The following is a 13,498-nucleotide window of genomic DNA, read 5'->3' as shown; positions in this document are numbered from 1 at the left end:
AAACGGCTCCACTATCAACAGAGGCAACTCATGGAATGGGAGAAAATATTTACAAATCATATATCTGATAAGGGGTTAATATCCATAATATATAAAGTACTCCTACAACTGAACAACAGCAAAAAAAAAAAAACAAACAGCAAATTAAACCGTAGGCAAAGGACTTGAACAGACATATTTCTCCAAAGAAAATATACAACTGGCCAAGAACCATACCAGAAGATGTTCACCATCACTAATTATTAGAGAAACAAAAATGTAAAACTGTAATGAGATAGCACCTCATACCCCTTAGGATGGATACCATCAAAAAGCAAAAACAAAACAGAGAAAAACAGTGTTGGTGAGGATATGAAGAAACTGGATCCCTTGTGCACTATTGATGGGAATGTAAAATTTTGCAGCCACTATGGAAAACAGCATAGAAATTCCTCAAAAAATCAAAAATAGAATTACCATATGTTCTAACAACTCAACTTCTGGATGCATACCTAAAGAATTAAAATCAGGGTTTCAAAGAGATATTTGAATGCCTGTGTTTGTTGCAACACTATTAACAATAGCCAAGAGGTATAAGGAACCCATTTATATCCATTGATGCATAGAGGATGTGTTAACCTGTTCTTGTGTTGCTGTAAAGAAATACCTGAGACTGGGTACTCTATAAAGAAAAGAGGTTTAATTGGCTCGTGGTTCTGCAGGCTGTACGAGTATGGCACCAACATCTGCTTGGCTTCTGGTGAGGGCCTCAGGAAGCATACAATCATGGCAGAAGGCCAGTTGGGGAGTAAGCATGTCACATGGCAAGAGCAGGAGCAATAAAGGGAGGTGCCACACTCTTTTAAACAATCAGATCTCATGTGAACTCAGAGTGAGAACTCACTCATTGTCACGAGAACACACCAAGACATTCATGAGGGATTCACCCTCATAACCCAAACACCTTACGCTGGGCCCCATCTTCAACATTGGCGATTACATTTTAACATGAGATTTGAAAGGGACACACATCCAAACAATATCAATGGATAATCAAAAAGTCGTATATACATACAATGGAATACCATTTAGCTTCGAGAAAGGAAGGATATTCTGACAAATGTTACAACATAGATTAACCTTGAGGACATTATGCTAAGTGAAATAAACCAGTCACACACAAAAAAATATGGTATGACTCTACCTATATGAAGTACCTAAAATAGAAAAATTCATAAAGAGAAATTAGAATGGTGGTTACTAGAGGCTAGGGGGAGGCAGGGAATGGTGAATTGTTTGATGGTACAGAGTTTCAGCTTTTCAAGATAAAGAGTTCTGGAACTTGCTTGCACAAAAATGTGAACATACTTAACACTACTGAAGTATATATCTGATAAGATATACTGAATTATATATCTGATAACACATACTGAACACTATTTAAGTGTACAGTTAAGTACACTTAAAATGGTTAAGATAATAAATTTTATGTGTTTTTAAAGTCATAATTAAAAATTTAAAAATTAAGGCAAGTGATTTTTAATCCCCTTCTCTGTTTCAGATATGGTATTAATTTTAGCAGAGAGGAAGAAAGAAATATCTAGTAACTCCCAGGAAAATAGGCTCCCTGGATGCATAATCCAGAGATTATATATCAATGTGGTTGCACTTTGTGGCTGAATTTAGAAAACTCTAGCCTATAAAATTATAGTTGGTTACTAACATTTGGTCATCAATGAAATGACCGGAACAAAGGCTCTAATGACTAGGTTATCAGGAAACTTATCTGAATTCTCCATTGTGCTCTCAATGTGGACATACTTTTTATAATCAAAGTACCCATCAGCTAGAGCTGGAGAAGATCTGGGCTCTCTCACTGGTGCCACTGCTGATGGCATGTGTGGCTGGGCATTCTCAGCCTGTGTTCCTCGTTTACAAACAAAGATGGCCAGCTCATCCACATTGCTTGTGTTTCCTCATGGCATAATTTACTCCTTCCTGCTGCACAGGGAAATGTTTCTCTGTATGTGTTTAGTGGTATTGATTTCTATTTTTTACTCTATACCTGCTTTCTAAATTGTAACTATTAAAACATTTTTAAATTGTGGAATTAATAAAACTCTATTACTAATGTTCCAAAGAGAGCACAAGCCAGATATTTCAATTGAAGGAATTTAATAAAAGTAATTCACTATAGAGTTGCTGGAGGGGCTGAAAATAGGTGAGGTGCTGCTACTCTTAGGGTCATAAAGGGAAAAGATGGGAGTCCAGATTGACTAACAGGTGGGAGCTAGAACTACGAAGAAAGTCTGGTGGGAGCTGGGACCACGACATGGGCTGCAACTACGATGGAGCTGTTGGAGGTACTACGTGAGGGATGAGGAGGTGGGCCGCTCTCCCCTCCCACCCTCCAGTTTCCACCAGTGCTGCCCATTGATTTAACCTTAATGGAAGCCAGTGAGCAAGAGCATCTGGGAATTATAACTTGTAGAGATTAGCTCTCTACAGAGCAGAACGAGGGAAGGAAGTGTGAATGGATCTGACAGCCAACAGGCAAATGACCAGTACAAACAGCAAACTTCAAAACCATATATTTATTTATCAGGATTACAATTAGGTATGCCACCTCCCCTATAGATAAGTAACTACCTGGGACCAGGGATAGAGATAATTTGAAAGAGTCTTTGGCAAATAATTAATCTGAGTGTACTTAGACCCGCACTTCTTCACACAAGCAGATTAATTGTTTTTTAGTGAAGTATTCAAATGCAGAAACACTAAGGACTTAGAAACCAAAAATTAATTAGCGTGGGAGGAAGAGACAGTGAAGCAGCCCCTTAAAAATGGTCTTTCGGGTGGAAACACTTTATTTGGGAAGCAAAGTGCAAGATTCAGCAATAGAAACCACTCAGTGTCCTTGGTGAATGATTTGATCCTGGCCATCAGAACCTTTACTTCAGCCAGCAATAAACTCTTAGAAACAGAAGCTTCGAGGTATGTACTCCTGTTCTGCACGAACAAGTTTTCTGGTTGAACATGCTGAACCTCTTAAAAAATTCAGAACAAGTTTTCTCAGAGTTTACAAAGGGATTTCAATCACATGAAGAGAGGAAAACACACTGAGTCGTAACAGTGACATCAAAATACTTTTGAAGTTGACTGAAAATGTGGTTGCTTTTGTTTGAGAATGGCAAATTAAAGAATTGGATATTGGGTTCTTATCTCAGAAGAAACAAAGGAGGAGACCCTGAAAAACTGAACATGAAGAGGAAGAAGTGGAGTTATGCAACTCTTCATAAGGTTGGTGAAAATTGTTAAATCTTTGTGAGTGGTTCTACAGAAACTGCCTGAGTTGAATGGTATGGGAAACTTCTAGTCTAATGGATCTCCTATCTTGATGTCCTTGACTCCCAGCTCATCAGAGGCTTTAGTTTTCCTCTTTTTAATTTGCCTCTTAATGTTAGAGTTTAGCTGTAAAGATAAAATGTCTAAGTTCCTTGTAGTAAGATTTCTAAGGAATAACACCAGTACTACAAGTAATGCCTCCCTCTTGGGGGTGGTGGGGCATGTGTGTTTGTGTATTGGTGATAGCTATAAAATAGAAATAGAACTTAGGAATTTTTTCCAGAAGTGCCCCACTGTTAGACTGTTCAGCCCCATACAGGCTGCTGCTGGAACCCCAAGTGATGTCTTATTAAGTCTTAGATCAACGGCAACTGGCAAGATACCTGGAAAAGCATTTCAGCATTAAAACAGTTTTAGGTCAAATGAGGCCTGGGGAACTGCAGCTTAATTTGATCCATTGCAGCAAAGAAACAACTAAAGGCTTTTAGGTATTTGGTGGCACAGGTCCCACCAGAAAGTAATATTCAGCACTCTGGGTCAATTCAATATTTAATTATATCAGTTAAGAAGGGAACTAATCAAATACAGGCTTTGTGCAAACGCTCTTTCTATATTTAACTCTACATGCCATGAACCTGCTAGAGAGGAAAATTTGAGTTTAATAATATTTAAAAGCTCTTTAAAAGAAGCACCGTCTATCCCTTTATAGGGGCTTGCGTTTTAAAAAATAGAAAATCTATCTCTTCGGGGCTTAGTGGGAGTTAAGCCGCCTGAGAACTGGACAGTTACTCAGGAGATACTATGTGGAGATGAGAATGGTAGCTCTGTCACTAAATTAGAAGGAGCTGAGGCTCACAGGTACACACGCAGTGCTCCTTGTACCCATCCACGCCATTAGCGAGGCAACGTGGGAGAAACGCGTCTATTGTAATTCGTTCTGAGCATGCGCACGGCGTGAGCATGCGCAGCACTGTCAGAACGCAGGCCCTTTCTCGCTTCTTTTCCACCTTTGAGACTGCGCCTCTGGGTGCTGGTTGTAACCTGACTGTCTTCGCAGGAGGAGAGGAATGCAGTTCCCTAGGGACGCTCCCCGTTTCTTGATTCCCTTTAGGTATATTTATTCCTGCTTAATCCTCACGTCAAATCTGCAAAATACTTGATGAACCTTGAACTTTTTTTTTTTTTTTTAATTCCCAGAGAGGCAAAACCTTATCAGTCTGTTGGAATATCGCTGCAAAACCATGTTTTGAACGGGTGTGTTCTGTCAGACTGATTGGAGGTTTCTGGCTGGAATGTTTAATTATCACCTAATTAAGACAGGCTTTCGTTAGTCTCTTTTTTGTATGCCTTGAGATTGCCAGCGGCAGGGTAAGCTTTACTTGACTGACAGCTGTCAGTGGCCCATATGGAAATGACAAATAATGTGACAGGATGAAGATAAAAGGTTTCACCTCGACACTGACCTGTGCCAGGACTCCTTTTCTCCACTCCAGGCTTTTAAGGCAGATGCCATGGCTATGTGCTGTGTTAACTTGGCTGTTAGAAGGTTGCGTGCTGGACAATGACTGCAGTGACCCATCAGGCCATGCATCGTAATTCAGATGTTAAGCTGTCTGGGTTGACGGATCACTTCACTGGATGATCTACTGCTCTGCCCTCAACCACTCAGATGGTCAGAAACAATTGATTCCATTCAGAGGAGCCTAACCAATGCCTTCTCAAGCCACATCTAGTGTATTGAAGATGTTAAAGATAACAGCTCCATAGGCTCTTCTTTTGTAAATCTGGTGTACGAGGTCAAATGGGGTTTTCACAGGCCCCAGGAGGGACAAATCCTCGATTCAAATTTCTTTCTTATTTCATTCATCCTGCCCAGCACTCCAAACCTTTTTTTTTTTTTTTTTTTTTTGAAACATCAGCTTTTGCCACATTAATCACCTACTTGGAGGCTGCCGGAAGAGTGCTCATTGCTGGCTGTAGAATTCAACTCAGAGTTCAAGGCTGCCCAGGCACCGTCATCAGACTATCTGTCCAGATGCATTTCCTCCTGCTCCATGACAGGAGCTCCACTTTACAAAACTCTTTGCCCTTTGTTCCTTGAACCCATCTTCACCATTCTTATTTCCAACCTCGACTGGGCTTTCTTCCATTTCCTCCTCTTCTGCCTGGATGTCTTCTAAGAATACTCACTACACTCCTTGCATTAACTGAAGTTTGGCTTTCCCTGGGGCCACAGATTCTCCTGGGGCTGGAAAGAGCAGAGGTTGTTCACTCCCTGGAGCCCAAGTGACTTAGGAGAGGAAAAGAGAGGACCGCAGCATGTTCTTTGACCTTCATTGCCACTCTCATTATTCTTCTACCCTTGCAGAAAATCTCCATCTGTTTGGAGAAGTACTGCGTCCTTCCGGATTATCTTCTACACTATGCCTTATTGTTATCTGGTAAGTCATCACCACTCTATCCCCCACACCACAGGATTTGCTTTCTGACTTGTGCTTTTAATTTCTACTAACCGTCATAATAGGCATCCTCAGTGTATTTCAGATAATTCCTCTAATCGCCTTCTATACTCATTTTTCCTCTGACAACTCCAGAATATGTTTGCCCTGTTTTTGTTTCAGTGGCACACTTTTCTGGCCACACTCAGCCCTGTTCAATCTCTGAAACCTCTGCCTGTCTCTTTGTCTTCTCATCTCAGTCTTTTACCACTATTAGACGTGTTCATCAGCTTCACAGAGTCCTCCAGACTTTAGACCATTTAATTTTCACTTGAGTATCCAGCTTTTTGATCTTAATGATGGGTCACTTCAGTACTGGGTGATCACTTCAGAGAAATCGGCTTTATCTCTTTGTTCTTTAGCTACACCTATGTTTTAAGACACAACTTCCTGATGTTCCAACTATGTGTGCTGTTAGAGATAAATTTCTGAGCTACTGAAGAAAAGGAAAATCTTGTGGTCAAATGATGTTCCATAACTCAAAACAGTGACACTGTGGTCATGTCCTAAGAGTCCTTTTAGGATCTTTAATAGAAGATTCTAACATGACATAGAGGAATGAACACAGGTAAGAATCTGGAGGTTCTATCTTTAATACCAGAGTATTTTTATGCAATCCTACAGAGATATCTGTCCCTCCCTTCCTTTCATTCTACCTTCCTCTTTTCATCTATATCTCCTTCTTTACATTTTCCTCTGCTTTTTCTGTCATATACATTGATAAATCACTTATATTGTTTATGTCTCTGGGGATATAAAAACAGACCCTGCCCTCAAGGAACTTAAAGGAAGGCAGCCAAAGAAATTGTTTACTCTGGTGCTATGCAATAAATGTAGCTGTAGAGGTCTGCACTGCTACACAGAGAAGAGAGAATCCAGCTCTACCTGGGAGAATAATACAAGCTCCAGAAAGAAGATGGTTTTGATCTAAGCGCAGTTCATCTCCTATGACTTAGGGGATTGATCTATACAGGTAGACAGATCAGACCTTTTATTCCAGCCCCCAAATAAATTTTGCTATTCTGGGTTATTTCCTCTGGAATCAACAAAGTGTAAACTCACACCTTTTCTTTGAACTGTGGCAGCCTCACTGGGGGATCCCTGCAGTGATCCTGTGTTCAGCCACCTTTCCAGAGACAGGCCCTCACAGTATACAGAGCTCATCAGTATACAGAGCTTCTTCTTGAAGTGTGCTGTCCAATATGCTAGACACCAGACATGGGTGGCTATTTAATTTTAAATACAAATTAATAAAACTTAACTGATACTGAGTTAATTTCACAGTTGCATTAACCACGTGCTAAGTGATAGCTATCTGCGTCTAGTGGCTACCATATTGGATAGCACCTGCTACAGATAATTTTCATTATTGCAGAAAGTTCTATTAGACTGCTTTGCTCTAGATGCTTCTTCCATTTTTCTAGTCATCTTCTTTTCCGTCAGATATAACTTACTGTGCTAGCCAGGTGTTGTTAGACCCAGCCAATGGGTAGGGTTTCTTCCATGCCTTATCCTTAACATGATGCAGCATGGATGAACTTGCTGGACATTAGTATTCATATCTTTGAGGACATTATGCTATGTGAAATAAGTCAGCCACAAAGAGACAAATACTACATGATTTTACTTATATAAGGTATCTAAAGTAGTCAAACACATAGAAACAGAAAGTGGAATTGTAGCTAGGGGAGGGGAAAATGGGGAGTTGTTCAACGGGTATACAGTTTCAGTATTGCAAGATGAAAAAGTTCTAGAGATGTGGTGCACAACTATTTGAATATTGTAAGACCGTTGAATTGGATACTTAAAAATGGTTGAGATAGTAAATGCTATATTATGTGCTTTTTACCACAATTTTAAAAAAAAGAGCAGTGTTGCCATGTACAAGGTCAACTTACATATTCAAGCAAAAAAAGTAATACAAAGTAAAATATAATTTGCAATAGAAAAAATGGATAAAATGTACAAGAATTAATCAAAAAATTCTTTTTATACCAAAACTTAAGACTAATAAAATACATGGACCATAATCTTATGCAATATAACAGTTTTCCATGCTCCTGATTGAAACAAAAATGTAAAAAGATGTCAATTCTTTTCAAATTGAATTTTTGGGGAGTAATTTGATAAACTTCCTCATAAACCTTTGGAAGAATAAAGATCCAGAGATACCTAAATCAACTTTGAAAAAGAACAAAGAGGGGAAACTTTCTCTACCTGATGTTAAGATAAACTACAAAGCCATGTTTATCAAAACAGCATCGCACTGGCACAAGAACAGACAAATACACCAATGGAATAGAGTGGAGAGCTCAAAAACATGTCCATGAATATACAGGAAATGATTGTATAGTATGATTAGTGCTGTAAATCACTGGGGCAAAGAAGAGATTATCTAGTAGTGTTGGCAACACTGGCTTGCCATATGCAGAAGAAAAAAATATAAGCCAGCATCCCTACCTAAGACTATTTATAAAGATGAGTGCATGATAGGTTAAAAATCTAAATGTGCAAGGAGAAGCTATCAAGTAAATGCGAAATAGTGTGGGAGTATGTCTTTGAGACACAGATGAGGACACACTTTCTTATTTGTTCTACCTTCTATTGGTTCTCTCCCTACCCCACAAGTGCATAGTCTTCTTTGATGTCACCTCCACTTCTCCCTGGCCTCTTACTGTGCGAAGGCCCTGGAGCTCAGTACTTGGACCCTTTCTCTTTTTTATTCTACCTTACTTAGTGGGTTATTTTAGCCAGTCTCAAGATTTTAAATACCATCTCTGTGTTGAGAAATTTTCCAAATTTTAATCTCCAGCTGAACCTACTTGACACCCCCACATGGAGGTCTGATGAACATGTCAAACTTCGCAGGCCTAAGATTAAACTTGTAATCTTCCCTGTAAAATCTGCTGCGCCCACAGCATTCGTCATTTCATCTCTAGGCTTCCCGATGCTTAAATCAAAACGTTGAAGTCATTTTTGACTTTTCTGTCTGTCACACACACCCCACCTTTAACCTATCAGGACATTGTCTTGGCTCTGTTTTCAAAGGTTTTCCAGAATTCCACCCCTACTCCCACCTCCATTGCTTCAACCCTGGTCAAAGCCACACCAGCCTTTTTGTAGGCTTAGGGAAAACTTACGTCTGTTGACAACTGACATTGCAAAAGGTATTGTCCCCAATATATGAATAGTTTCTCAAATTAAAGAACAAAGGAACCAATAACCCTAGAAGGATGAGCTAAAGAAATGAAGAAATAGTTCATGGAAAAAAAGATGTAAATGGCTCTTGAACTTATGAAAAAGTGCTTGACCTTCCTCTTCATAAGAGAAATGCAAAATAAAATTACATTAAGTGACTATTATTAAAAAGTAAAAAAACCCAAAAAACAAAGAACAAAACAGATGCTGCCAAGGTTGGGGAAAAAGAGAATGCTTATATACTGCTAGCGGGCATGGAAATTAGTTCTGTCACTGTAGAAAGCAATTTGGAGATTTCCTAAGGAACTTAAAACAGAACTACCATTCAACCCAGCAATCCTATTACTGGATATATACCCAAAGGAATATAAATCATTCTACCATAAAGACATACACAGGCATATGTTCTTACAGTACCAAAGGCATGAAATCAACCTCAATGCCCATCAATTGTAGACTGGATAAAGAAAATGTTGTACAAAATGTGGTAGATATACACCATGGAATACTATTCAATCATAAAAAAGAATGAGATCATGTTCTTTGCAGCAATATGGTTGGAGCTGAAGGCCATTATCCTAAGCAAATTAACACAGGAACAGAAAACCAAATACTGTGTGTTCTCACTTATAAGTAGGAGCTAAACACTGAGTACAAATGGGCATAAAGAAATGAACAACAGGCACCGGGGCCTGCTTGAGGGTGGAGGTTGGGAAGAGGGTGAGGATTGAAAAACTACCTATTGGGTACTATTTTTATCACCTGGGTGACAAAATAATCTGTACAGCAAACCCCTGAGACATGCAATTTACACATGTACAAACCTGCACATGTACACCTGAAACTAAAATAAAAGTTGGAAAGAAAATGAAGTTAAAAAAAATAAAATTACATTAAGATATTATCTCTCGTGTCTCAAATCGGCAAAATTCCAAACTTTCATAGCACACTGCATTAGGAAAGCTGTGGAGAAACAGCCCTCTCCTGATAGGAATATAAGACGGTACCAACTTGTGGAAGGGAATTTGACAATGTCTAGAAAAAGTATGCGCCCATAAGCTCTGATCTTCAAATCCCACTTTTAGAAAACTATCACAAAGATACACTGTCAAAAACTGAAGAGATGTTTATTATAGCCTACTGATTCCAGCATTATATGTAATAATGAAGACTTGAAACAACCCAAATGTCCATCAACAGTATTAGATTGACTAAAAGCATGGTGCATCCACACAAGAGAGTAATATTTCTAAATATTGACATAAAGTGAACTATTTGAAAAACAGAAGACAATCATTTTTTTAAATTGCCATATTAGTCTGTTCTCATGTCATTATTAAAGAATTACCAAGACTGTAATTTATAAAAGAAAGAGGTTTAATGGGCCCACAGTTCCACTTGGCTGAGGAGACCTCACAATCATGGCTAAAGGTGAATGAGGAGCAAAGTCACATCTTACATGGCAGCAGGCAAGAGAGCATGTGTAGGAGAACCGTTCTTTATAAAACCATCAGATCTTGTGAGACTTATTTACTATCACAAGAATGGCATGGGAAAAACCTGCCCCCATGATTCAGTTACCTCCCACCAGGTCCCTCCCATAACATATGGGTATTATTACAATTCAACATGAGATTTGACTGGGGACACAGAACCAAACCATATCAATTACCTAAAAAGTGAAAGAGGGATAGAAGTTTGACTTATCTGAATATACCTTTTATTTATGGTTTTGACTTCCCAAGTCAAAATACTTTGTAAGTATTTTACATAAGCATGAAACAAAATTTAAATTTAAAAAGCCATCACTATAACATTGGAAGGAAACAGAAACAAATAAATCCAAATTTTTGTTCTAGATTGAGACTTTTTCCTGAATGTTGCCCGATAATTTCCTTCTTCTGATTTATCTTTATATTCTCCTTTCTTTCTTTTCCATCTTTTTGTTTTGTTTTGTTTTTGTTCTTGTTTGGCTATGGTATTTTTACCTAGTTTTAGAAATTGTATTGAGTCTGATGTACTGTTTGGAGAATTTGGGTTTTATTTCCACTGAATCTGAGACCAGTTTGTTTTTCCCTCACAGATACAGTTTGATTGCTGGTTACTTATAATTTGTAGTAAACATTACTAGTTGTCTACTTATATCTATCCTCCTTTTCCTTAGTAAGGGACCATTGATTTCTTTTTCCCCATGGAGCAATGTGCTCTGATAGATACAATTATATTTCCCAGCTTGATTTGTAGCTAGTAGTCGTCACTGAGATATATTTGCAAGTAATTAAATAAGGCTTCTGGGAAATTTTATTAAAAGATACAACTTAGATAGGAGATTTTTTTTTTCTTGCTCTTTACCTCCTTCCTTCCTGGAGTGTAAATGTGATGGCTGGATCTTCAGCAACCATACTGAAACTTTGAGAATAAATGTCACATGCTACTGATGACAGAAAAGAAAGAAGAAACTTGAGTGCATTATAAATTTATGGTTTTACTATCCTAACCCTGGATTACCTGCCTTTGGAATTCTTCCATGTAAAATATTAAGCTTTTGATTTTTAAGCCACTGTAATCAGGCCTCTGTTGCCTATAGTTGAAGGCAATTCCTAATCAATACTCTGTTCTATTGATTTCTTAGCAGTCTGAGGGATAGTGATATGGTTTGGTTGTGTCCCCACCAAAAACTCATCTTGAATTGTAGCTTCCATAATCCCCACATGCTGTGGGAGGGACCCAGCGGGAGGTAATTGAATCATGGGGGTGGGTTTTTCCCATGCTGTTCTCGTGATAATGAGTAAGTCTCATGAGATCCGATGGTTTCATAAAGGGCAGTTCCTCTGCACATGCCCTCTTGCCTGCAGCCATGAAAAACGTGACTTTGCTCTTCCTTCACCTTCCACCATGATTGTGAGGCCTCCCAAGCCATGTGGAACTGTGAGCCCATTCAGCCTCTTTTTCTTTATAAATTACCCAGTCACAGATATTTCTTCATAGAAGTATGAAAATGGATGAATACAGATAGCAAAGTTAGAGCCTTTAGCTGATGCAAAAGATGTCCTTGTTAGAATAACTGAGCTGTGCTCCCTCAGAGATATTATTCCTTTTCTTAACTTAAAAATATATATATTTTTAAATTGACATGTAAAAATTGTATATATTTATGATGTACAATGCAATGTTTTGAAATATGTACATACATGCTGTTGAATGGCTAAATCAAGTTAATTAACATATGCATTACCTCACATATTTATTTGTGGTGAGAACATTTAAAGTCTATTCTCAGCAATTTTCAAGTACTCAGTACATTGTTATTAACTATAATCACCATGTTGTACAATAGCGCTCTTGAAATTATTCCTCCTAACTGAAATTTTGTATTCTTCGACCAAGTGGAGATATTATTCTTTATCAGAATTTTATCTACATATTTAGGGGGCATGTACCATTACTGTTAGGGTGCAGCTTGCTCTTGCAATTCCTTGTGTAGCCCTGAAGCCTTCACTTCATCTGAGAGTCAGACCCACGACACCTTTTTCCATTTCTTCCTACAGGCTGGTTCCACCACCGGTCAGAAGAATGAAAATTGCAGATACCTATTCTGTGTGTTTCTCTCCAGAATGGTGGATGTTAGAGACCCTACTAAGGATTTGTGGACTCACTAACGTAGTCTCTAAAAGGTAAGGGCAGAGTTTGGAGCTGAACTATGCCCAGCCTCTGTTTCACTCTCCAGAATCTTCTGCTTACTTCCATGGTAACTACTCATTGATGCTTATTTCATTATGTCTCTTTATTTGTATGAATAATCATATCCTTGTATATCAAAGGTGAGAGATTCTCTAATAGAGTTTTAACCTACCATTTTAAACCAGGATCCATCTATAGTCTATGAAGTTCCATAAGTACTATAAAAATAAAAAAAATTTAAATCAATATTGCCTTTATTTTTATTTAGTGTAGAGGCAAAATTTAATATTTAATATGTAATATTGGAAAAATCTAATTTTAGTGTCTTTTTGGCTAGTGTATCCCCAAATGAATTAAATTAACAGTTTCATGGCGTTCTTAATAGGAATGATCAGCTCTAGTATGCTGCCAGGATGCAGTCATATGGTGATACAGGTTGTTTACAGCCAGTGTCCCTTCTAAGTGATCATTTCCCTGCTATATTTGTTGTTATATAGTTAGGATATCATCTCTGGTGTTTCATAAAAAGAACACCCAGACTGATAGTCAAAATATGTATCCAAAAGGATAATTATGTGGGGGAACCAAATAATAAGACGAAGCAAGCACATGTCTTTGTTACAGGACTTAACAGAGACTTTAAATGTACTAATGTGATTTGGAAAGTTCCAAGTGAATAACTTAGTGACTGATAGGAGGGAGAACTTCCTTAGTTTATTTGAACTCAGAGCCCTTTTTACTGCAGAATCTTTCATGACTGGTAACCTAAAATAATCTGAGAAACACTGCCTTAAACT

General features: G+C 38.2%; 1 long non-coding RNA gene across 1 annotated transcript in view; it reads left to right on the top strand.

Annotated features, from left to right (window-relative positions):
- The first annotated feature begins 2,780 nt into the window (after positions 1-2,780).
- The window catches only part of LINC03069 (long intergenic non-protein coding RNA 3069), a 187,650-nt gene continuing 176,932 nt past the window's right edge, over positions 2,781-13,498 (top strand). The window contains exons 1-3 of the long non-coding RNA NR_148972.1: positions 2,781-3,279; positions 5,693-5,765; positions 12,569-12,694. This is a non-coding gene — a long non-coding RNA (long intergenic non-protein coding RNA 3069). The remainder of the gene's footprint in view (positions 3,280-5,692; positions 5,766-12,568; positions 12,695-13,498) is intronic.

This window comes from Homo sapiens, chromosome 18, assembly GCF_000001405.40.
Source record: "Homo sapiens chromosome 18, GRCh38.p14 Primary Assembly".
Lineage (NCBI taxonomy): Eukaryota > Metazoa > Chordata > Mammalia > Primates > Hominidae > Homo > Homo sapiens.
The sequence above is the reverse complement of the archived record's forward strand: the minus strand, read 5'-3'. Positions and strand labels throughout refer to the sequence as shown.